This window comes from Homo sapiens, chromosome 12, assembly GCF_000001405.40.
Source record: "Homo sapiens chromosome 12, GRCh38.p14 Primary Assembly".
In the NCBI taxonomy this organism is placed as follows: Eukaryota; Metazoa; Chordata; class Mammalia; order Primates; family Hominidae; genus Homo; species Homo sapiens.
The window spans coordinates 110,465,294-110,490,834 of record NC_000012.12 but is presented as its reverse complement, the minus strand read 5'-3'; the positions used below and the strand labels follow the sequence as shown (position 1 = coordinate 110,490,834).

At 44.0% G+C, this 25,541-nt stretch overlaps 2 protein-coding genes and 1 long non-coding RNA gene across 13 annotated transcripts in view, besides 3 other annotated features; 2 read left to right on the top strand and 1 right to left on the bottom strand.

The window, feature by feature from the left end:
* Positions 1 to 449: 449 nt before the first annotated feature.
* Positions 450 to 22,408, bottom strand: FAM216A (family with sequence similarity 216 member A). 4 transcript variants are annotated; one of them, XM_024448959.2, is made up of 7 exons: positions 22,160 to 22,408; positions 17,717 to 17,757; positions 5,636 to 5,757; positions 4,381 to 4,510; positions 4,118 to 4,301; positions 2,892 to 2,974; positions 450 to 816 (listed from the first exon to the last, which is right to left on the bottom strand). In XM_024448959.2, exons 3-7 carry the CDS (start codon positions 5,657 to 5,659, stop codon positions 698 to 700), a joined length of 540 nt encoding a protein of 179 aa, XP_024304727.1. In that variant the 5' UTR covers positions 5,660 to 5,757; positions 17,717 to 17,757; positions 22,160 to 22,408; the 3' UTR covers positions 450 to 697. The 4 variants fall into 4 exon arrangements, with proteins under 4 accessions (XP_024304727.1, XP_005253932.1, NP_037432.2 ...); XM_005253875.6 differs by having other exon boundaries at positions 22,310 to 22,408; NM_013300.3 differs by lacking the exon at positions 22,160 to 22,408 and adding an exon at positions 21,817 to 21,990.
* On the top strand, positions 1,542 to 20,546 carry LOC124903016 (uncharacterized). The gene is made up of 3 exons (XR_007063459.1): positions 1,542 to 1,926; positions 20,019 to 20,196; positions 20,384 to 20,546. It is a non-coding gene; the product is annotated as an uncharacterized LOC124903016 (long non-coding RNA).
* Positions 21,247 to 21,416: an enhancer, noted in NCBI's record as "active region_7005". NCBI's record gives its function as "activates an Ori minimal core promoter by ATAC-STARR-seq in GM12878 lymphoblastoid cells {active_cell/tissue: GM12878}" and the evidence as "EXISTENCE:reporter gene assay evidence [ECO:0000049][PMID:35858748]".
* Positions 21,617 to 21,926: a silencer, noted in NCBI's record as "silent region_4856". NCBI's record gives its function as "represses an Ori minimal core promoter by ATAC-STARR-seq in GM12878 lymphoblastoid cells {active_cell/tissue: GM12878}" and the evidence as "EXISTENCE:reporter gene assay evidence [ECO:0000049][PMID:35858748]".
* GPN3 (GPN-loop GTPase 3) overlaps positions 22,114 to 25,541 on the top strand; it is a 16,236-nt gene continuing 12,808 nt past the window's right edge. For 2 of the 8 annotated variants that reach the window (XM_047428936.1, XM_047428934.1), the window contains exons 1-2: positions 22,114 to 22,363; positions 22,460 to 22,679. In XM_047428936.1, coding sequence (XP_047284892.1) covers positions 22,329 to 22,363; positions 22,460 to 22,679 — 255 coding nt within the window. In that variant the 5' untranslated portion in view covers positions 22,114 to 22,328. Of the gene's footprint in view, positions 22,364 to 22,459; positions 22,710 to 25,541 lie in introns of those variants that run through there. The other 6 variants (XM_047428935.1, XM_047428933.1, NM_001164372.2 and 3 more) reach the window with 5 other exon arrangements.
* Positions 22,337 to 22,466: an enhancer, noted in NCBI's record as "active region_7004". NCBI's record gives its function as "activates an Ori minimal core promoter by ATAC-STARR-seq in GM12878 lymphoblastoid cells {active_cell/tissue: GM12878}" and the evidence as "EXISTENCE:reporter gene assay evidence [ECO:0000049][PMID:35858748]".

The following is a 25,541-nucleotide window of genomic DNA, read 5'->3' as shown; positions in this document are numbered from 1 at the left end:
TGGATATTTCCAAGCTTCCCTTAGCCCAATCAAAAAAATACTTGTAGGATATTCTTTTTTTTTTGAGACGGAGTCTCGCTCTGTTGCCAGGCTGGAGTGCAGTGGTGTGATCTCGGTTCACTGCAACCTCCGCCTCCCAGGTTCAAGCAATTCTAATTCTCCTGCCTCAATCTCCCAAGTAGCTGGGACTATAGGCACACACCAACATGCCCAGCTAATTTTTGTATTTTCAGTAGAGACGGGGGTTTCACCATGTTGGTCAGGCTGGTCTCGAACTCGTGACCTCATGATCCACCCGCCTCGGCCTCCCAAAGTGCTGGGATTACAGGCATGAGCCACTGCGCCTGGCCCTTGTAGGATATTCTAATATTGCTGTTTTAGGACTTACTATGAACACAGAAAGAAGAAATACGATGCATTTGTCAGATTTAAAGAAAAGTAATTCAATATTGAATGCAAGAAAAGTTTTAATTGTATCTAGCTAGAAGTACAAGTATATGTTACATGTAAATTTTCTTACATAACTATCATTGGTACATGGAACTACATCAGACCAATTACATTGTTTTAAGTTTCTGAACAAACCAAAATTACTTAATGATTTAATAAATAACAATACCATCCTAAACATACAGGACACAACTCACAACCCCTTACCCTCACCTTTGGCACGAATTCAATACACGAGACAAGACTGTCAAGTTAACATCAGATGTTCTCCCTGTTCTTCAATTGACATTGATTGCATAAAATTATTTAGTAAATCTTCTTCCTTTTTTTCTTCACTCATGTGTGATTCAGAATCATCTGAAGAAACTGAAGGAAAAATAAGAATTTACAATTGTCTGTTTTGGAAATAAAGCTCTAAGTACAACTTTCAAAATGACCTGGCTTATTAATAAGCCTGTAGTAAAGACAAATTGCCTGCAATTTTCAAGGCTCTTAGTCACCTCATCCTTCCCCCAAGTTTCTTACTCTTTAAGATACACAATACTGTATTCTAGCCAAGTTACTGTACAGCAAATTCTCTTGTTACTAAGTCCTGTTTTACCATTGATTTTCAAAATCTTTCAGTTGGGGGAAATTAAAGTGGTCAGTTACATCTTCAGAATCTCTGCATTTTCATTTAGTTCCTTCTCATCTCTTCTATTGGGGACCACAGGGACTCCCCCCCCTACAGTTTCCGCTAACTGTACCTTTTGGAACCTGACTTACCCCTTCTCTCCTGCCCTTTCCCTCATTTCTTGGATAGGCATGGTACGATATTTACAGCAAAGCTGGCTAACACTGTCATACAGTGATGGGATATCAATTCAGAAGGCCTAACTTCCCTACTTCAGTTTTTTTTTTTTTTGGAGACTAGAGTGCAGTGGCGCGATCTTGGCTCACTGTAAGCTCCGCCTCCCAGGTTCACGCCATTCTCCTGCCTCAGCCTCCCGAGTAGCTGGGATTACAGGCATGTGCCACCACGCCCGGCTGATTTTGTATTTTTAGTAGAGACAGGGTTTCTCCATGTTGGTCAGGCTGCTCTCGAACTCCTGACCTCAGGTGATCTGCCAGCCTTGGCCTCCCAAAGTGCTGAGATTACAGGCATGAGCCACTGCGCCTGGCCAACTTCCCTACTTCTTACCCACCTCCCTACTTCACTATGCTGATAACTAGGAAACTACTTAACATGATTTAACATTATCAGTTCTGAGGAATACTTCTGATCATTCGGTCTGTCTTCCCTTTTTCATTTTGCAGTATTTTGTTCTTGTGGTAGAAGGATCCTTTATGCTGATCCTTCCAAAGTCTGGATTTGTCTGAGTTGCAGCTGTAAAATTTTGATAATATCACCTGCTTGGCTTGCCTCCACTGTTTTGTTGAATATCAAACAAAATGGTATACAGAAGTCCCTCCTTATCCACAGTCTTGCTTTCCAAGGTACAGTATAAGATATTTTGAGAGAGACCACATTCACATAACTTTTATTACAGTATATTGTTATAAAATTGTTCTATTATTTATTGTTGTTAATCTCTTTATGTGCCTAATTTATAAATTAAAACTTTATCATAGATATGTGTTTTTTAGGAAATAACAAAGTATAGGGTTCAGTAGTATCCAAGATTTCAGCCATCCACTGGGGGTCTTGGAACATATTCCCCATGGATAAGAAGGGCCTACTATAAGAGATGTAGCACTTTGTAAACTAATAGATGCTATACAAAATATGTTCATCCAAAAATAGCACTAACTCATAAAAGAAGTGCTGTTGCTTGAGAAGGTCATGTTTGTGGTTCTGGGTTCAGACGAATTCATTCTCTACTAAGTCTTTGACCTTGATATTGTAAGTATCTTTAGCATTAGAAATACCTTGAATCTTACTCTTTTGAGCAGTATGTTCTTTTTTTCTTTTCTTTTCTTTTTTTTTTTTTTTTTGAGATGGAGTCTCACTCTGTCACCCAGGCTGGAGTACAGTGGCGCAATCTCAGCTCACTCCAACCTCCGCCTCCCAGGTTCAATCGATTCTCCTGCCTCAGTCTCCCAAGTAGCTGGGATTACAGGCGCCTGCCATCACGCCCAGCTAAGTTTTGTATTTTTAATAGAGATGGGAGTTTCGCCATGTTGGCCAGGCGGGTCTCGAACTCTTGACCTCAGGTGATCTGCCTGACTCGGCCTCCCAAAGTGCTGGGATTACAGGCGTGAGCCGTGGCGCCTGGCCCAGTATGTTCTTTTAATTGCAAGCATAAACTATATTTTATGTTTGGTTTTTTATTTGTGACAATAAAAGCAAATCATATTCTAAATTTGTTAATATCTTCATAATAGAAATGAAATTGTATTTGGTATAGTATTTTTAAGCATAAGATCTTAAAAAATGAATATTGTTAAATTTCCACATTTACCTGTTTGCATGAACAGTTTCCTTGGTCTTCTAAAAATCTTCAGTGACTTACATCTTGTTTTAGATGCATATCCAGTTTTTATCCTATAAGAAAGGGAAGTATCTTAGTTGGAGCCAGCAAAGTGAACAGCTGCCTAGGGCATGTGGAAGACCACACAAATTTGTTTTATTAGCTGCCAACATCACCAAAAAGACCCTTTCAGCACCCAGATTCTCCTGTAATTTCTTAACCCTGACATGTAAAGCTGCTGCAGTGCAATTTCAATACTCATGCTGCTTAATCTTTTTCCTCTCCCTGTTATATAGTATTCCCCTGTGCATAACCAACCATATTCTTCTCCTTTTGAAAGTATTTGCATTATTTTGAGGTTGAGTGGGAATTATATTGAAAAGGGCAGTCATCCATAACTCTATCTGATAAAGAAATTTTTATAATTCCACAAAATATATTCTAAAAGAAGTGGCATATTCTTATCAGTGCAGTAAAGAAAAAGTATGAAAATATCTCTCGGCTAGGCATGGTGGCTCATGCCTGTAATCCCAGCACTTTGGGAGGCCAAGGCGGGCAGATCATCTGAGGTTGGGGGTTCAAGACCAGCCTGACCAACATGGAGAAACCCCGTCTCTATTAAAAATACAAAATTAGCCGGGCATGGTGGCGCATGCCCGTAATCTCAGCTACTCAGGAAGGCTGAGGCAGGAGAATCGCTTGAACCCGGGAAGTGGAGGTTGCGGTGAGCCGAGATCGCGCCAGTGCACTTTAGCCTGGGCAACAAGAGCGAAACTCGGTCTCAAAAAAAAAAAAAGTATCTCTGCTTTTTAAAAGTCCAGCCTATTCTGAATTTAGCAAAGTGAATATATTAGGGAACACAACCATTAATATCACTTAGCTACCCTTCAAAAGAGATGGGGAAGGCTGGGCACAGTAGCTCACGCCTGTAATCCCAGTGCTTTGGGAGGCGGAGGTGAGAGTACCTTGGCCAACATAGTGAGATGCTTTCTGTACAAACAATTTTTTTTAACTAGCAGGGCATGGTGGTTTGTGCCTTTAGCCCTAGCTACTTGGGAGTCTGAGGCAGGAGCATTGCTTGAGCCCAGGAGTTTGAGAATACAGTAAACTGTATCACACCACTACACTCCAGCCTGGGTGAGAGAACAAAACCCTGTCTGAGAAAAAAAAAAATTAAACTGAGATGCATTTCCCCCCTTTTACACTAAGAAACAGACCCTTCTTTGTTTCTCACTGGCCGCCAAAGGGAATGCTGTATGAGCATTTCAGGTGCAGATGCAGCTGCGATATCAGAAGACCCCGAGTCCTCTCTCTCCAGTTGATGTCGCCATGTAGTGCAAGGGTAATGCTGTTTCTGTGAGTAACGGGAGCTAAGGCGGCTTCTGTGATGAGTGAGGACACCTGTGATACAAATCACCTGTTAAAAGACCCTCTCACTAATTGTAAAAACTAGTGAAAAGACAACTGGAGGTGCACCTGCCTGGCTTTTGTGAGCTGTGCTGAAGTACGTGCATGTACTGCCTCTTCATTAACATCTTCAGATAGTTTGCATTATAGATTTTAGCAATGCTGCACAGGTAACGCTTCTGGCCTGTGGTGAGGTCTGGATGCTAAAAGACAGAATAAGAGGATTTATAGTCTGCATTGTATTAGAGAAGTTGGCAATATTCCTTATCTGAAGAGATGAATGTTCAAGAGAGTTGTGCCAACTGTATTTTACTTTAGCAAATTCAACTACGTTAACTTGACAAAAGAGAAAGAAATGGCCAATTAAACAGTGCAAGTGGCTCTGCTTGCCATTCCACTCGGGTGATTCAGATGCCCTTTGAAGTCGGAGAACCCATTGCTCTAGATGAACAAGGAAAGAGCGAATCTGCTGTTCTGTCAAGTGTTACTTGCTGTGCGCCTCTCAGTGTGGGCATCTTGCCTTCTCAAAATGATTTTTGAGGTATAACATGGTACCTAAAATCAATCCAATTACTCTACTTAGTCTCAACTGAAGAAACATTCTTTTCCAGCACCAGAAGAATAACTGACTGTGTTGGACATTCTGAGGGATAGTATGTTAGTCTCTAAGTAATTTTGACTTGAGATTTTCATTGCACTTGCTGATTTAGAAGTTAATGTTCACTTAAGATGTATGATTCCACTATATATACAAGATTTACTTTACTGAATACATGGTAAGTTCAAAGAAAATGCAAAATGTTAGAAAAATTTACCCTAATTCACATTGCTCTAGAGATACTTTTAGCAGTTACGATCGTTAATGGGATACAGGTAACCATTGTAAAATCCTTATTGCCATTTTCTTTTATTTATTTTTCTTTTTTTAAATCCTACTTGCAAGCTAATTACTGCCATTTTCTTTACCTGCTTTCTTCTTAATTTTGTAGTCCTTGAGTAAAATATGTGTGAAGTTGGGTTTCTATTTTCAAGAAAAGATGGAACTTTTCTTGAGCATCTCTGTGGTTGGGGCATTAAGCTTCCCCTCAGTAAAGATACATTAGATATGAAGTATCATAAAACCATGAAATAACTCTTATGATAAAGAATGTATAATCTTTACATTCATTCATGAGTTTACTCAAAGATATTTATTGACTCCTAGACAATTATACTGCATATGCCTTGTCATCTGCAGTATCTCACCCTCTAAGCAGCTGATCTTCAGTAAAAAGTTCGGCTCTGAATACAAAGAGTATTGGTATTTAAATATGTCCCTGTTAGCATACCTTGAAAAAGGACGCCTCCATCATTGATTTAGAGAGGTGGATTGTTTGATTTTGGGGAGTTTTCCATAACTCTTGCAGCTTAGCTATGTGTGAGTTCACTTTGTATCCATCTTTGATTCTATCTGTAGGCAAAGACATCATGTGAATTTCAGAGGCAAAGATCAGTTCAACAAACTGAATTATTAAGATCTAGATATTTAGGCCGGGTGTGGTGGCTCACGCCTGTAATCCCAGCACTTTGGGAGGCCGAGGTGGGTGGATCACGAGGTCAGGAGATCGAGACCATCCTGGCTAACACGGTGAAACCCTGTCTCTACTAAAAATACAAAAAATTTAGGAGAATGGCGTGAACCCGGGAGGCGGAGCTTGCAGTGAGCCAGGATAGCGCCACTGCAGTCCAGCCTGGGCGAAAGAGTGAGACTCCGTCTTAAAAAAAAAAAAAAGATCTAGATATTTACATGTGTCAGTGATTATCCTGGAGTAGTACTGAATATTTTCACTCAGACTTAAATTTGAAGAGACTGTATGGTATGCCATTTGGTTTTAGAGCACACAAACAACATCAAAGATACTTGTAAATAAATATTTTATTTATATATAATACATTATTTTGAACTCAGCTAAGATGCAAAGTGTTGACAGTAACATCATGTCAGAAACATACCAAAGAGAAAATATACACGCAGGATTTGTGCTTTAATGATTTACAGTAATATTTTATTATCATTTAACTTTACTATATAGTTTTTTTTTTTTTTTTTTTTTTTTTTTTTGAGACGGAGTCTCTCTGTGTCCCCCAGGCTGGAGTGCAGTAGCGCGATCTCAGCTCACTGCAAGCTCCGCCTCCCCAGTTCATGCCATTCTTCTGTCTCAGTCTCCCGAGTAGCTGGGACTACAGGCACCTGCCACCATGCCCGGCTAATTTTTTGTATTTTTAGTAGAGATGGGGTTTCACCGTGTTAGCCAGGATGGTCTCGATCTCCTGACCTCATGATCCTCCGCCTCAGCCTCCCAAAGTGCTGGGATTACAGGCGTGAGCCACGGCGCCCGGCCTAACTTTAGTATATAGTTTTTTAAATCTTTTTTTAAGAGATGGGATCTCTGACGCCCAGGCTGGAGTGCAGTGGCATAATCATAGCTCACTGCAGCCTCAAACTCCTGGGCTCAAGAGATTCTCCCGCCTCTGCCTCTCAAGTAGCTGGGATTATAGGTGTGAGCCACTGCACTCGGCCTTAAAATTCTATTCTGTATTAGACTAGAGTAACACAAATTTTATCCCTTTGGAGATGTAGTATTAACATGAAAGACTGCAGAAATTTATCAAAATTTATTTTTACATAGTTTCAGTTATTTCATTTTTTGTTGTTGATTTTTGTTTGTTTTTGAGATGGGGTCTCACTCTATTGCCCAGGCTAGAGTGCTGGCACAATCTCAGCTCACTGCAACCTCCACCTCCCAGGTTCAAGCGATTCTCCTGCCTCAGCACCCCAAGTAGCTGGGATTGCAAGCATGCACTACCAGCTAATTTTTGTATTTTTAGTAGAGATGGGGTTTTACCATGATGGCTAGGCTGGTCCCAAACACCTGACCTCAGGTGATCCGCCTGCGTTGGCCTCCCAAAGTGCTGGGATTACAGGCATGAGCCACCATGCCCAGCGTATTTCATTGTTTTAAAAACAGTTGTGGACAGCATAAAAGAATAACCTTTTAGTAAAAAATAAAAGTTGAAACATATTCCCAGAAGAATGGGAACTGGTTTTCAGTTTCAGACATACTGAGACTAGTAATTTAGGGTATAAGCTTCACTAGCAGTTTTGGGAAAAATAGTCTCTGACAATTAAATCACGAAATGCCTCTTTTTTTTTTTTTGAGAAGGAGTCTCGCTCTGTCGCCCAGGCTGGAGTGCAGTGGCACCATCTCGGCTCATTGCAAGCTGCAAGCTCCACCTCCCGGGTTCACGCCATTCTCCTGCCTCAGCCTCCTGAGTAGCTGGGACTACAGGTGCCCGCCACCACGCCCAGCTAGTTTTTGTATTTTTAGTAGAGACGGCGTTTCACTGTGTTAGCCAGTATGGTCTTGATCTCCTGACCTCGTGATCTGCCCGCCTTGGCCTCCCAAAGTGCTGGGGTTGCAGGCATGAGCCACCGCGCCTGGCCCCGAAATGTCTCTTTTTATAATAATACATCCCTCTTCCCTGCACACTCCCTTCTCCAGGCAACCACTGATGTGCTTTCTATTACCATAGATTCATTTGCATTTTCTTGAGTTTGATATAAATGGGAATACACAGTACTCATTTTTTGTCTGGTTTTTCACTCAACCTAACGATTTTGAGATCCACTCATGTCACATGTAACAAATAGTTCATTTATTTTTATCATTGGGTTATCTTTTTTTTTTTTTTTGAGATGGAGTCTTGCTCTGTTGCCCAGACTGGATTGCAGTGGCGCCATTTCGGCTCACTGCAAGCTCCGCCTCCCAGGTTCATGCCATTCTCCTGCCTCAGCCTCCCGAGTAGCTGGGACTACAGGCGCCCGCCACTGCGCCCGGCTAATTTTTTGTATTTTTAGTAGAGACGGGGTTTCACCATGTTAGCCAGGATGGTCTCGATCTCCTGAGCTTGTGATCTGACCGCCTCAGCCTCCCAAAGTGCTGGGATTACAGGCGTGAGCCACCGTGCCCGGCCTGTTGGGTTATCTTCTATTGTATATATGTTTACACTGTTATTTGATTATGTACCTGTTGATAGACATTTGGGTAGTTTCCACTTTTTGTCTATTACAAATAAAGCTGGAAAGACACATTTTAAGTTAAAAGTTTGCGTCCGGGTGTGGTGGCCCATGCCTGTAATCCCAGCACTTTGGGAGGCTGAGGCGGGCAGATCACTTGAGGTCAGGAGACCAGCCTGGCCAACATGGCAAAACCCTGTCTCTACTAAAAATATATAAAAGTTAGCCAGGTGTGGTGGCGTACACCTGTAGTCCCAGCTACTCAGGAGGCTGAGGCAGGAGAATCTCTTGAACCCAGGAGGTGGAGGTTGCAGTGAGCCGAGATCGCAACACTGCACTCCAGCCTGGGTGACAGAGTGAGACTCTGTCTCAAAAAAAAAAAAAGTATATAGTTAGTTGAATTCAATAAGCACATTTTTGTTTCAATATTATTAATAACAGGCTATTTCAGTTTTGTATTAAACTTTAAATTTAGTTATTTCTTCAAGATTTTGGCAAGTTGGATACTACAGGTAAGGACTAACTAGTTGACCAAGAAATGGAAAATCATTTGGAAATTGTATTATGACCCTTGAAACATAACTTATAATCTGTAATAATATGAATGCCAATTTAAGATTTTTAAAAGTTTTTTGTTTTGGAAATCCTTTTTCAAGTTGTAAACAGAGGCTATTTATATAAGAATATGAATTGTGTCCTTAATAAACAATATTTCTGAGATGCATATTATATTTTGGACCAACACTTAATTTCTCAATAGCTTGATAACATTTCTTTACAGAAAATGAAGCACTTAAAAATAAATAGGCTGGGCATGGTGGCTCATGCCTGTATAACCCCAGTACCTTGGGAGGCTGAGGCAGGCAGATCACCTGAGGTTGGGAGTCGAGACCAAGCCTGGGCAACATGGTGAAACCCGTCTCTACTAAAAAAAAAAAAAAACCACACACACAAAATACTTAGCCAGGCATGGTGTCACACCCCTGTAATCCCAGCTACTTGGGAGGCTGAGGCAGAAGAATCACTTGAACCTGGCAGGCAGAGGTTGCAGTGAGCTGAGTTACTGCAACTGCACTCCAGCCTGGGTGACAGAGTGAGACTGACTCAAAAGAAAAAGAAAAATAGTATGGCAGTGCCTCGAACATTTAAACATAGAATTGCCATATAATCTAATAATTCCACTTCTGATCCAGCAATTCCAAAAGAACTGAAAGCAGGGACTCAAACAGATTATTTATCCATGCTCATAGCAGCATTACTTCATAATAGCCAAAAAGTGGAAGAAACCCAAGTATCCATCAACAGGTGAATATATAAACAAAATGTGGTATATACAAACAATGGAATATTATTTAGCTTTAAAAAAATAAGAGAATTCAGACACATGGTACAATATGGATGAACCCTGAAGACATGCTAAGTGAAATAAGCCAGTCACAAAGGACAAATATTGTATGATTTAACTTTTATGAGATACCTAGGAAAATCAAATATATACGGAGTGAAAGAATGGAGGTTGCAAGAGGTCAGGGGAAAGGAGGTATATAGGGAATTAGTGGTTTTTTATTTTGTTTTTAAATTTTCTTTTAGAGACAAAAAAAACTAAAGTTAATTTTATGTTGCCCAGGCTGGTCTCAAACTCCTGGGCTCCAGCGATCCTCCAGCCCTAGCCTCCCAAAGTGCTGGGATTACACACACGAGCCACTGCACCCACCTGAGAGTTAGTGTTTTATAGGTACGGAGTTTTAGTTTGGGAAGATGAAAACTTTCTGGAAATGGATGGTGGTAGTGGTTGCACAACAGTGTGAATATACTTAATGCCACTGAAATGTACACTTAAAAATGATTAAAATGGGCCAGGTGCATTGGCTCATGCCTATACATCCCAGCACTTTGGGAGGCTGAGGCGGGCAGATCACTTGAGTCCAGGAGTTTGAGACCAGCCTGGCCTACATGGTGAAACCCTTAGGCTGGGCGTGGTGGCTCACACCTTTAATCCCAGCACTTTGGGAGGCCGAGGCGGGCGGATCACGAGGTCAGGAGATCGAGACCATCCTGGCTAACATGGTGAAACCCCGTCTCTAGAAAAATATAAAAAAATTAGCCAAGCATGGTGGCAGGCGCCTGTAGTCCCAGCTACTCAGGAGGCTGAGGCAGGAGAATGGCGTGAACCCGGGAGGTGGAGCTTGCAGTGAGCCAAGATCGTGCCACTGCACTCCGGACTGGGCAACAGAGTGAGACTCCATCTCAAAAAAAAAAAAAAAAAAAAAAAAAAAATTAGCTAGGCGTGGTGGGGGTGCACCTGTAATCCCAGCTACTCAGGAGGCTGAGGCAGGAGAATCGCTTGAACTCAGGAGGCAGCGGTTGCAGTGAGCCGAGATCGAGCCATTGCACTCCAGCCTGGGCAACAAGAGCGAAACTCCATCTCAAAGAAAAAAAAAAAGATTAAAATAGTAAATTTTATATTATGTATATTTTACCACAAATAAATAGTTAACCAACCCAAGAACTTTTGAATATACTGCTTGGACTATATGCCCTCAAACAAAAACAACTCTAAGCAAATACTGATCTCTAATTAACTACTAGGCTTTTTTTTGTTGTTTTGTTTTTTGTTTTTTTTGGGTTTTTTTTTAGATGGAGCCTTGCTCTGTCGCCAGGCTGGAGTGCAGTGGCGCGATCTCTGCTCACTGCAACCTCCAACTCCCTGGTTCAAGTGATTCTCCTGCCTCAGTCTCCCAAGTAGCTGGGATTACAGACACGCGCCACCATGCCCAGCTAATTTTTTGTATTTTTAGTAGAGACGGGGTTTCATCATGTTGGCCAGAATGGTCTCAATCTCCTGACCTCGTGATCCACCTACCTCAGCCTTCCAAAGTGCTGGAATTACAGGCGTGAGCCACTGCGCCCAGCCTACTAGGCTTCTTTTTTTTTTTTTTCAGAAGCATGTGTTAGCACTTTAGAAACTACTTTTTTATACATCTTAGGACGAAGCAAATAATATATTGTAGTTAATAAGCAGGTCTCACACTTTTGGAGACGAGTTACCTATTAATATGGAAAGAGGAAAGCACAGAATAAACCCTGTTTGTTGGATTGGAATTTGGAGTTAGTAGAAATATTGAAATAGATATGTATGGGTATGTATGTGCTCACAGGTAAATGCACACACATTTCTTTCCCAGCACTGTCCTCGGAGAAAGTCTAGAAGCAATGAAAGTATATTATAAATAAGCACACCTAGCACCCAGATCTTGGTTTCTACGTACTCTTCTCTACTTTAAATATATAATTTTTTTTTTTTTTTGAGACAGAGTCTCGCTCTGTTGCCCAGGCTCACTGCAAGCTCCGCCTCCCAGGTTCACGCCATTCTCCTGCCTCAGCCTCCCGAGTAGCTGGGACTACAGGCGCCAGCCACGACGCCCGGCTAATTTTTTGTATTTTTAGTAGAGACGGGGGTTTCACCGTGTTAGCCAGGATGGTCTCGATCTCTTAACCTCGTGATCCACCCGCCTCGGCCTCCCAAAGTGCTGGGATTACAGACGTGAGCCACCGCGCCCGGCCTTAAATATATACAATTTTTTAAAAAGGGGCTCTATGTTAGTTTCATTTTGCTGCCATAACAACACAACTTTAGCGGCTTAAAACAACACTCACGTATTGACTCATAGTTCTATAGCTCAAAAGACTGAGTATAACATGAATCCACTGGGTTCTCTGCTTAGAATCTCACAAGGCCAAAATCAAGGCATCGGGGTGCCTGGGCTGGACTGGGGTGCCTGGAGCCTGTAGTGGTTCATTCAGGTTGTTGGCAGAATTCAGTTCCTTACAAAACCAAAGTCCCTATTTCCTTGACATGTGGCTCTCTTCATCTTCAAGCCAACAATGGGGTGTTAAGATCTCTCCTTTCACATCTAACTGCTTCTCTTCCCCACATCTGTCTGACTTCAGCCAGAGAAACTCCTCTGCCTTGGGCTAGGCTGGGCCCACCCAGAAAATTCAAAATAACATCTCTTTTGAGGGTTATAACTTAATTTTACCTGCAAAATTGCTCCTGCCATGTAACATAACATATTTACAGGTTAGAGAGATTAGAGTGTGAACATCTTTGGGGACCATGCTGCCTACCACAGGCTCTTTGGAGAAATGGCAGACATCAAGGGTAGAACAGGGACAGTACAACGTTTTGTGCTAAAAGATAAAAGTTTTCAAAGGATAATGGAGACAGAGAACAAGAGCCATCTTTAAAGGGCTCCCACTGGCCAAATCTGGGATAATTTGAGCATCAAAATAAATAACAGATTTAAAGTAAAGTATTTAACCTATTCAATGGTATAAGAATCCATGTGTTGACAATTATATAATAAATATATAAATTGAAAAATGGTAGAGAAAGGGAAGCTCTTCATTAGAAAGCCATCTGAAAAATGTAGAATCAATGATGGAATTAGAAAAAGTCCATATGGCTGGGCACGGGGGCTCACGCCTGTAATCCCAGCACTTTGGGAGGCAGAGGTGGGCAGATCACAAGGTCAGGAGATTGAGACCATCTTGGCTAACATGGTGAAACCCCGTCTCTACTAAAAATACAAAAAATTAGCCGGGCATGGTGGCAGGCACCTGTGGTCCCAGCTACTCGGGAGGCTGAGGCAGGAGAATGGCATGAACCCGGGAGGCGGAGCTTGCAGTGAGCCGAGATTGCGCCACTGCACTCCAGCCTGCGCGACAGAGGGAGACTCTGTCTCAAAAAAAAAGAAAAAGCACATATTTCTAGCCATCTTAATCATAATGGATTTAGTCAAGAATGGATGACAAGACTGGGCGCGTTGACTCACGCCTGTAATCCCAGCACTTTGGGAGGCCGAGGCAGGTGGATCACGAGGTCAGGAGATAGACACCATCCTGGCTAACACAGTGAGACCCCGTCTCTACTAAAAAAAATACAAAAAAATTAGGCGAGCGTGGTGGCGGGCGCCTGTAGTCCCAGCTACTCAGGAAGCTGAGGCAGGAGAATGGCGTGAACCCGGGAGGCGGAGCTTGCAGTAAGCCGAGATTGCACCACTGCACTCCAGCCTAGGAGACAGTGCGAGACTCCGTCTCAAAATAAATAAATAAATAAATAAAAGAATGGATGATTAATGGATGAAAGTTTGAGAAGTAATAGGCTATATACAAAGTCTCAAAGTATATCCCCATATACTTTTACCTTTACAAAGGGTAAGAATCATAACTTTACAGTGGTGAAAGCTGGCAGACATCACCTGAACCAAACGATGACAACATTGTCAGTAAGGGACTAATGCACAGCAGGGTTCTCCTGATATGATTAACCTGGACAAACTCAGCACCACTTCTGTGCTATTCCTGCTAGAAGGACATAAGCTGAATCTCATCGGAGGAAACATCAAACAAACCCAAATTTAGGGAAATTCTACAAAAGAACAGGCCTGGGCCAGATGTAGTGGCTCACACCTGTAGTCCCAACTACTTGAAGGCTTAGGTGGGAGGATCACCTGAGCCCAGGAGGTTGAGGCTGCAGTGTGCTGTAATTGTGCCACTGCACTCCAGCCTGGGCAACAGGGTGAGAACCTGTCTCAAACAAACAAAACCCCACAGGCCTGTATTCTTCAAAAATATCAATGTCGGCCGGGCGCGGTGGCTCACACCTGTAATCCCAGCACTTTGGGAGGCCGAGGTGGGCAAATCCTTTAGGTCAGGAGTTTGAGACCAGCCTGGCCAATATGGTGAAACCCTGTCTCTACTAAAAATACAAAAATTAGCCAGGCATGGTGGCATGTGCCTATAATCCCAGCTACTCGAGAGGCTGAGACACAAGAACTGCTTGAACCTGGTGGGGCAGAGGTTGCGGTGAGCCAAGATTGTGCAACAACACTCCAGCCTGGGCGACAGAGTGAGACTTCGTCTCAAAAAAAAGAAAAAAGCTAAGAAACATAAAAACATTAGGCCAGGCGCGGTGGCTCACACCTGTAATCCCAGCGCTTTGGGAGGCCGAGGCGGGTAGATCACGAGGTCAGGAGATTGAGACCATCCTGGCTAACATGGTGAAACCCCATGTCTACTAAAAAGAAAAAAAATTCAAACAATTAGCGGGGCGTGGTGGTGGGCGACTGTAGTCCCAGCTACCCGGGAGGCTGAGGCAGGAGAATGGCGTGAACCTGGGAGGCAGAGCTTGCAGTGAGCCGAGATCGCGCCACTGGACTCCAGCCTGGGTGACAGGGCAAAACTCCGTCTCAAAAAAAAAAAAAACATTGACAACTGAATGCTATTCATAAACTTGGATTTTTTTTATTTTTGGCTATAAAGGATATTATTGAAATAATAAACGATATCTTAATAAGGTCTATAGATAACAGTATTTCAAGTTCTTGATTTGGATAATTATTTTGTGAGATAAATAAATGTAGTTAAGATAGGCCAGGCGTGGTGGCTCACGCCTGTAATCCCAGCACTTTGGGAGGCCGAGGTGTTCAGATTGCTTGAGCCCAGGAGTTTGAGACCAGCCTGGGCAACTTGGCAAGACTCCTATCTCTACTAAAAATATAAAAATTAGCTGGGTGTGGTGGCGCATGCCTGTAGTCCCAGCTACTCTGGAGGGTAAGGTGGGAGGATCACTTGAGCCCAGGAGGTGGAGGCTGCAGTGAGCCGATTGTATCCCCGCACTCCTGCCTGGGGGATAGAGTACAAAATATAGCTAAGATAAATACCCCCACTTTTTTTTTTTTTTTTTTGCCAGGGGTGAAGTCCCAGTTACTTGGGAAGCTGAGGCGAGAGGATCACTTGAGCCAGGGAGGTCGAGGCTGCAGTTAGCTGAGATTGCACCACTGCATTCCAGCCTGGGAGACAAAGTGAAACCTTGCCTTATAATAAATAAATAAAGGAAATACACACTTGGAAGTATTTAAGAATAAAGAGGGCCAGGCGCTGTGGCTCATGCCTGCCCAGCACTTTGGGAGGCCAAGGCGGGAGGATAACCTGAGGTCAGGAGTTAAAGACCAGCCTTGCCAACATGGTGAAACCCCGTCTCCACTAAAAATACAAAAATCAGCCAGGCATGGTGGCGTGTGCCTGTAATCCCAGCTACTTGGGAGGCTGAGGCATGAGAATCGCTTGAACCTGGGAGACCGAGGTTGCAATAAGCCAAGATTACACCACTGCACTCCAGCCTGGGCGACAGAGTGAGACTCCGTCTCAAAAATAATAATAACAGTAATATCTAGAGTCACTGCCAGTAGTTGGCTATCGTGTTTATTTTAAATAATAGAATGAATCCTTAAGTTCAACTATAGAGGAAGACAATCAAGCACTTGCTGAATACTGGCCCTTTTCCCCTCCAATTATAAACAGCAATACACATTGTTCACTGCAGATTAGTGAAGTAAACTAAGTGTATAAAAAGAAAATAAAAACTTTTAATTCCACAATCTAGTAGTAATTTTTTTTAATTAATTTTTTTTTTTGAGATGGAGTTTCACTCTTGTTGCCCAGGCTGGAGTTCAATGGCGCGATCTCGGCTCACCGCAACCTCTGCCTCCCAGGTTCAAGCGATTCTCCTGCCTGGAGTAGCTGGGATTATAGGGATGCACCACCACACCCAGCTGATTTTTTATTTTAGTAGAGACGGGGTTTCTCTATGTTGGTCAGGCTAGTCTCGAATTTCTGACCTCAGGTGATCTGCCCGCCTCAGCCTCCCAAAGTGCTGGGATTACAGGCGTGAGCCACGGCGCCCAGCATTTTTTTTTTTTTTTTTTTTTTTTTTTTGAGACAGAGTCTCGCTCTGTCGCCCAGGCTCAAGTGCAGTGGCATGATCTTAGCTCACTGCAACCTCCGCCTCCTGAGTTGAAGTGATTCTCCTGCCTCAGCCTTCCGAGTAGCTGGGACTACGGACGTGCACCACCACACCTGGCTAATTTTTTTGTATATTTAGCAGAGACGGGGTTTCACCATGTTGGTCAGGCTGGTCTTGAACTCCTGACCTCAGGTGATCCACCTACCTCGGCCTCCCAAAGTACTGGGATTACAGGTGTGAGCCACCGTGCCCGGCCTAGTAGTAATTATTTTAAAACACTTTGACATATTGCCTTTCAGAGTTTTTACTAGGCATATATTTGTTTAGAAATTTTTCTTTTATATAACTAAGTCAATCTAATATACTGATAATTGTTAATATTTCTTTATTTCCCTCCACATCTGGAATATATTACTAATAATTATATTGTTTTGTGTTTCCTTTCTTTTTTACACTGAACTATAATTCAGTAAGAATTTTGGTGAGGAATCTAAATTAATGAACCCAGACTGCAACACATTTTTTAAATGACCATATTATTTATTTATATATGTATATATGCACACATATATGTCTGTATATTTTTTTCCCAGGTAACTGTAATGACTATATATTTACCAAGGAAAAGCAAAGTGAACCCAGGTTTATGTATCACTGAATTTAAATGAAACATTTAAAACCTATTATAACTACTATACTTAAAATATATATACATACACACACACTCCTACAGTCAGTTAATTCCAGCTCCTCTCCCAAGGGAAAAAAAGCAATTAGTGAGAGACCTTTGGGGGATTGTTTTACCTACTCTCTTAACTCCAGCAGAGAAGAGGTGAATACTTTGAAAGCTCTATTCTTTATTTCAAGTGAGAGGAAAACATCAGCACTGAGAAATATTTTGTATTCTTTGAAGCTATTCAATTTAGAATTTTTTTCTTCTATCCATGTATAAACCCCAGGCTGTGCTCTGTGCTTTTCAACCAACGTCAGCTATAAATACAGTTCTTTTAGGATTCACTGCTAATTTTAAAAATGCTTGATGTAAAATATACTGTACCAACAGACAAGAAAAACCTCCCTGATTGCTCTTTGAAATCTTAAAGACTAAGTTCACCAAGGATGCTAATACAATCTATTTTTAACTCTATTGTGGGCTGGGTGTGGTGGCTCATGCCTGTAATCCCAGCACTTTGGGAGGCGGAGGCAGGTGGATCACCTGAGGTCAGGAGCTCCAGACCAGCCTGGCCAACATGGCGAAACCCTGTCTCTACTAAAAATAGAAAAATTAGCCAGGCATGGTGGCACGCATCTGTAGTCCCAGCTACTCAGGAGGCTGAGGCAGGAGAATCGCTTGAACCCAGGAGGCAGAGGTTGCAGTGAGCCCAGATCGCACTACTGCACTCCAGCCCAGGCAACAGAGTGAGACTCCATCTCAAAAAAAAAAGAAAAAAGAAAAAAACTCTATTGTGTAAGTAGTTACAGACAAATAGGCTTCTCAGAACCATGTTACTTATAAGTATTATCTGCTTTATATGCACTACTCACCAGAACCTTTGGAATTCTGGTAACAAGAGTATCCAGCTGATCTGTTGAAAAAATAAAGCATATAAATAATATGTAATAATTACAATGTTACAAGCACTGAACAACATATTTCAATTTTTTTTTTTTTTTTTTTTTTTTTTTTTGAGACAGGGTCTCACTTTGTCACCCAGGCTGGAGTGCAGTGGCATGATCTCAGGTCATTGGAACCTCTGCCTCCCAGTTTCAAGTGATTCTCCCACCTCAGCCTCCCAGGTAGCTGGGACTAGCGCTGCTACACCCAGCTAATTTTTGTATTTTTAGTACAGACGGTTTCACCATATTGGCCAGGCTGGTCTCAAACTCCTGACCTCAGATGATCTGCCTGCCTCAGCCTCCCAAAGTGATGGGATTAAAGGTGTGAGCCACTGCACCCAACCAACATATTTCAAATTTTAAAAAAGGATAGTGTTGCATATTATTTTTACTTTTCATGTTTCCATCAGAAATAATGTCTTACAAATTTTTTCCTATAATTCTGGTTAAATCCTAATGGCTCCAAGATTTTTTTCTTTCCTTTTTTAGAGATGGGGTCTCCCTCCTTCACCCAGGCTAGAGTGCAGTGTCGTGATCATAGCCCACCGCAGCCTCAAAATCCTGGGCTCAAACGATCCTCAGCCACCAAGTAGCCAGGACCACCAAAACGCCTGGCTAATTTTTGTACAGATGTGAGCCACCATGCCTATCCTGGGTCTTAATTTTATAGCTTCCTAATCTCATTCCTACAGTGAGCTCAATAAAGTAGTTGGGGCTCCTGGGCTATCCATGTGATTATCTTGCTGTCTTTATTTTTAATGAAGTGATTTGGGTATTGAAAAGACTGTTCTTTTTTTTTTTTCTTTTTTCTTTTTTGAGGTAGAGTCTTGCTCTGTTGCCCAGGCTGGAGTGCAATGGCGTGATCTCCGTTCACTGCAACCTCCGCCTTCCAGGTCCAAGCAATTCTCCCACTTCAGCCTCCCGGTAGCTGGGATTACAGGTGCCCGCCACCACGCCCGGCTAATTTTTCCATCTTTAGTACAGACAAGGTTTCGCCATGTTGGCCAGGCCGGTCTCAAACTCCTGACCTCAACTGATTCGCCCGCCTCAGCCTCCCAAAGTGCTGGGATTACAGGTGTGAGCCACCACGCCATGCCGAAAGACTGTTCTTTGAATAGTAATTAAGGTGTGCTAGAACTAATAAGTTGGTCTGTAATGTTTCTAATTTCGTACAAATTCTTTTTCTTTTCTAAACTTAAGACAAAACAACTGATCCTCATCCTGCAATTTATTCAATGACCAAGAGTTCATGGGCCAGGCGCCAAGTTTATAAAGTTTTTGTTATGAACTTTTCACCGCCGCTTCCTTTGCTATTTTATTCCAAGCCACCATATCGTTTTCTTGTATTCCAACTTCTTAATTCTACGCTTGCTCCTTCTAGTTTATTCTCCAACTAGCAACCAGCGTGATCCTTTTTAAGTAAAGTAAGATCACATCACTTCTCTGCTGGCAACCCTCCTGTGTCTTCCTTTCTCAAAGGTTGACTTTATAAGGTATGAGGGAGTTTTGAAGGAGTGATAGAGCTGCTCTGTATCTTTAGTGTGGCAGTGCTTACATAGCCATGTGCATTTGTCAAAACCCATCATATTATACATGAAAAAGTAAGACTTTAATTTGTGTAAATTATGCCTCAATAAACCTGACTTTAAAGAAAAAAAGTGCTGGGCACGGTAGCTCCCGCCTGTAATCCAGCACTCTGGGAGGCCGAGGCGGGTGGATCACGAGGTCAGGAAATCGAGACCATCCTGGCTAACATGGTGAAACCCCGTTCTCTACTAAAAATGCAAAAACTTAGCCAGGCGTAGTGGCACGTGCCTGTAGTCCCAGCTACTCAGGAGGCAGGAGAATCGCTTGAACCTGGGAGGCGGAGGTTGCAGTGAGCCAAGATCACACCACTGCACTCCAGCCTGGGTGACAGAGCGAGACTCCATCTCAAAAAAAAAGAAGAAAAAAAGTAAGGAGTTCCGGAGTTCCCATTAGTTAATAATGGGATTTTTGGCAGATCACTTCCCCTTTCAGATTAGTAAATATGACCGGAATTGATGATTTTTAAGACCCCTGCCAGTGCCAACATTGTATCATGTAGCATAATAAACCTGATTCTAGTTTGAAAATTTTATTTTGTATTTCTGGGAATATAAGCTTTTCATAAATTAGTCTTGGTTTGTGTTTTTTAATGGGGTTCCTTAAACCAAACTGAAGGGCATACTGTCTTTTTTTTTAATTGTAGTTTTAAGAGTTTGGATAAACTAAAGGAAGCATGGAGATGAACGACAGGCGGAGATAAAAGGAAAGGACAAACAACCTCTTTGTGCCTGTTTTGTCATCCATAAAGTGGGGATCATAATAGAACCTTCCAGGATTACAGGCTCATGCCCATCTCTACTAAAAATACAAAAATTAGCCAGGTACGTGGTGGCGCACACCTGTAGTCCCAGCTACTTGGGAGGCTGAGGCAGGAGAATTGCTTGAACACAGGAGGCGGAGGTTGCAGTTAGCTGAGATCGTGACACTGCACTCCAGCCTGGGTGACAGAGGGAGACTCTGTCTCAATAAAAAAAAAAAAAAAAATTCACGTATCTCCTGATACACCAGGATCCTGCAGTCGGCCAAGGACTGTGAAGAACAGAAAAGAAACCCAAGACTCCATCCCATCTTTAAGAAGTCTTCAGTAGCACCAGAGACAAAAAGGACGGCCATGCGGGCGGATCACGAGGTCAGGAGATCGAGACCATCCTGGCTAACACGGTGAAGCCCCGTCTCTACTAAAAATACAAAAAAGTAGCCGGGCGTGGTGGCAGGCGCTTGTAATCCCAGCTACTCCAGAGGCTGAGGGAGGAGAATGGCGTGAACCCGGGAGGCGGAGCTTGCAGTGAGCTGAGATGGCACCACTGCACTCCAGCCTGGGCAACAGAACGAGACTCTGTCTCAAAAAAAAAAAAACAAAAAGGATGGCCATGGGTGCAACAGGGGCCCTGACTGCGGGTTGTACTGAACGGCAAACATATCGCAGTTCTTGCTTTTAGGGAATAAAGTAGGGAGAGGAAGAGGAGGTAGAGTCTCCAGCAGTGACTTCAACAGCTCGCTGTCTTCACTATCTAGGAAATAGGTGTAAAAACCTGCTCAAAACGAAATAGATTTGTGAAAAAAGGAACTTCAGTGTGAAGAAAATGTCAAGATCAAGGCACCTCGGATATTCAGTCATTGGTCTCATTGGCGATTAGAAATCCTCGTTTGAGGTCGGGCGCAATGGTTCACCCCGTAATCCCAGCAATTTGGGAGGCCGAGGCGGGCGGCTCACTTGAGGTCAGGGGTTCGACACAAGCCTAGCCAACATGGTGAAACCACCTCTCTACTAAAAATACAAAAATTAGCCGGGCGTGGTGGCAGGCGCCTGTAATCCCAGCTACTCGGGAGGCTGAGGCAGGAGAATCACTTGAACCTGGGAGGCTGAGGTTGCAGTGAGCTGAGATCGCACCACCGCATTCCAGCCTAGGCAACAGAGCGAGACTGTCTCGCTCTCAAAAAACAAGAAAGAAAAGAAAAAAAAAGAAAAAGAAATCCCCGTTTGACAGGAAGGTGGCTCATGTCACTAGAGGGAAGGAACTGGTTTATGGGCCTGGATGCCCCCAGTTGAACCGGGGGACATCTTCCTCCTCTGTCCCTCCCGCCTCGCCTTTCGGTGGACACACAGTCCTGTGCCAGACAGCAAACGTCCCAGCAGGGCTCGCAGCGCCCCCTCGGGGCAGAGAGATGCACGCGGGCGACTGTCGCAGTCACCTCGTGGCCACTGCACCAAACGCTCCTCCGAAGCTTCCCTCAGAGACCCTCCCTCAACCGCGAGGCAGTCCTCCCCTCTGCCCTCTGTCCACAACAAAACTGCTCCCCGCCTCTCACTTGAGGGCACCGGGGCCAGCCCCCGAGACGAGAGGTCGGCCGCAGCCCTCCTCCACGGGGCTCACGACCCGGGGGCCTCACGACCCGGGGGCCCCATGCTGCCACCCTTACCCCGGGGCCCCCAACCTCACCCGCCGCCGCCACCCTCGGTCCCGGCCACAGCGGGCGGCTCTGCAGAAGAGCTACGCTCCGTCCAGTCGGACCCCGGACCCTGGCCGGGCATCTCCGCGGCGCCGAGACCGCGAGCCGTGTGCGGGAGCAGCTGTCCCAGCATCCCTCCCCCGACAGCACGCGTGCGTCAGGCTGCTGGTATTCCGGAGAGGCGGCTCGGATGCTGGCTTCTCGCCCCTCCGAAGCCGTTCGGACACTGCCCGAACAGCTTCGGGAGAGCGGGGCGGGCAGATCCGCGACCCCGGAGTTACGGTGGGGGAGGGGCAGGAGCGCTGCGGTCGCTGAGCGTTTGCACGTTTGCACCTCTCTGTGGAAGCAGTGCGTCACAGGAGGGAAATATACATGCTCCCCAAAACAAGAGGTGCCTTCCACTTCAGTATTCCAGATCCTCAGCACATTTGCAAATCGCGAGGGTCACCATACAGGTCAAACGTCTGCACGCAAACCACGGACCGAAGCACGTGGCGCAAGGATGCGGAGCTTTATCTGTTGTCCGTTATTACTCAGGTATCCAAGCTTAGACAGCATCCCAACGGCCGATTTCCATCAACTACTTTTGCGCACGCGCAAATCCTCTCCCTCGCCCCTCCCCTTTTTTCTCAGGACGCGTTTCTCACGGGATTTGGCCCGCGGGCTGCCCCGTAGTAGGAGGTGTGGTAGAACTGGAGGCGTAGAAAGAATGTGGATTGCGATTGGTTCGCACTTCACTTTCCCGGAGCTCAGTGGGCGTCGCGCGAAGGCTAAGGGAGTGTGGCGGGCGGCTCCGGGAGCCAACATGCCTCGGTATGCGCAGCTGGTCATGGGCCCCGCGGGCAGCGGGAAGGTGAGGATCTGCGGGGACAAGGAGAGAAAAGTAGGAGTTCGTGGAAGGCGGGAGATTGGGTCCTGAGGGAGTGAGCCGGCGGGTGTGTGTACTGGGAACCCTGAGACCCCACGCAACTCATTTCTGCTGTCTGGCTTCACGTTCTTTTTTGTTGTTGTTTTGAAAGGGAAATAATGGTAGTTGTTAATATTTATTGTATACTTAAGCCCCAGGCAGCAGATGAAACGCCTCGCTTATTTCTACAACAACCCTGTGAGAGAGATCTCATTTTTCTCATTTTACAGAAAACGAGATACAGAAAGGTTAATTAAGTTCTTTGCCCCGCAAAAAAATATAAATCCAGTTTTGTCTCAACTCCAGAATCCGGCCCTGTCTCGCTCCCAGGAGGGTAAAGTGGGGTCTCATTAATTACTGTTTCTCAGAACTTGGGACATGGACTTTTGGTATTTAAGGTGCTTTTAGGTGGTAGGTGGTACATGGACCCCACATTAAGGAGCATCAGATAATGTGTTAGGGAAATTGTTCCCTTTTCATTTCTCTTTCAGTTCTCAACTTCGCATTTAGGAGAAGTTGTGCTCGGTGCTAGTGTGTATCTTCAGCACTTCTTTAATCCCCAGGTCTTTTCAGAGAGCAGTTCTTAGTCTCAGAGCTTTTAATAGGCACCTGTATTTAGCTAAAAATAGAACATTTAAAGATTTTATATAATTTTATGTCTAATTTCACGTTATGTCAAATATAAGTGGTTTTCAGTTTACAGTAGGGATAAAATTTTTTCTTGTAAACAAATATTAAGGGAATGTTAGGAACATTCAAATACAGTGAGAATGGTGAAGATATGGATCAAATAACATATGTGTGGGAAACATAGCCAGGCGTGGTGGCTCACGTCTGTAATCCTATCACTTTGGGAGATGGAGGTGGACGGATCGCCTGAGCCCAGGAGTTTGGGACCAGCCTTGGCAACACGGCGAAACTCTGTCTCTACAAAAAAATGCAAAAATTAGCCAGGCCTGGTGGCAGGTACCTCTAGTCCCAGCTTCTCGGGAAGCTGAAGTGGGAGGATTACCTGAACCCAGGAGGTTGAGGCTGTGGTGAGTGGTGATCGTGCCACTGCACTCCAGCCTGGGTGACAGAGGTACTGTCGCAAAAAAAAAAAAGAAGAAGTGTGGAAACACTAGAGTCTGTGGAGGTGTTGTGTGGCCTCAGTCTTTAACAAACACATTGTTCTAAGCTGTTGACTTATTCTGGGTAAAAACATGTACATGTAACTAAGATACCTATGGCCTTTAACTTACCCAGAGTCTGTAGTCTTTTGGGGAAGACAAATAGATGACCTGTCAATTAAGATACAGTGTGATGTGGCCAGGTGTGGTGGCTTAAGCCTGTAATCCTCGCACTTTGGGAGGCTGAGGCCAGCAGATCACTTGAGCCCAGGAGTTCAGGGTCAGCCTGGGCACCATGGTGAAGCCCTGTCTCTACCAAAAATACAAAAATTAGCTGGGCATGGTGGCGAGAGCCTATAGTCCCACCTACTCGGGGGGCTAAGGCTGGAGAATCGCTTGAGCCTGGGTCAAAGCTGCAGTGAGCTATGATGGTGCCACTGCACTCCAGCCTGGGTGACAGTGAGACCCTTTGCAAAAAAAAAAAAGATACAGTGTGTGATGTATGGAGAGGGCATTCCAGACAGAGACAACAGTATGTGTAAAGGCACTGAGAGGACAGCATGATGGATGTTTTTTCTATAGTCTATTTTAATTTTTGGGCTGATTGTATTAAACAAGTATCTTTATAAGCTTTTGATGCTTACTATCAGAAACATTCCTTGAGTACGTTCTTTATCCCAGGCACTGTTTTGGGCCCTGGGGGTTGTATGGGGAAAAAAACATGCACACACAAAATCCGTGCCCTTGTGGAGCTTATCTTTAAACATAATAAGTCAATTAGAAACAATTATCAAGTATTTATTATGTACTAGGTATTGCGCTAGTCCCTGTGCTTGGGAAACTGAATAAGACACATCTCTGCCTTTAAACAGAGTATGACACAGACAAGTAGCCTAGAGACTTTTTTTTTTTTTTGAGCCAGGAGTCTTGTTCTGTCATCCAGGCTAGAGTGCAGTGGTGTGATCTCAGCTCACTGCGACCTCTGCCTCCCGGGTTCAAGCGATTCTCCTGCCTCAGCCTCCTGAGTATCTGAGATTACAGGCATACGCCACCACGCCCAGCTAATTTTTGTATTTTTAGTAGAGACGAGGTTTCACCATGTCGGCCAGGCTGGTCTCCAACTCCTGACCTCAGGTGATCCGTCGACCTCAGCCTCCCAAAGTACTGGGATTACAGGTGTGAGCCACTGCACCCAGCCCGAGATGTTAACATAGTACGGTAACAACTACATAATGGATAAAGAATTATCTAAACCAAAAGTTACAAACTGATAGCCACCTCCAGACTATTTATTGATCTTGGCGTTCTTTCATCTTGGAATGCTCTTCCCCTTAGGTTGGCAAACTCCTTCTCATATACTCATATCTCCCCTACTCAGAGACATCATCCCTGACCATCCTACCTAAAGCTTTGTTTGCACTGTACAAGTCCTGGTAGAGACACTGTGTTAGGTGTTACACTATGTAACCAGAACTCTTCCCTTTAAATACCGCTTGTCACATTTAGAACAGTAAGGAGCCTTAGTGATTATGGAGGACATCCCAGTTAGAGACACGAAAATTGAAGGGCAGAGTGGAGAAGTAAATTCCCCAGAGGTACCCATGAGTCTAAGTCAGGTTTGAATCTGCAGCCCAGTCAGGTATCTTTTTCCCTTGTTGTCAGTCAGCCTCTTGGTTGATGAAGGCATAGTTTTGACCTT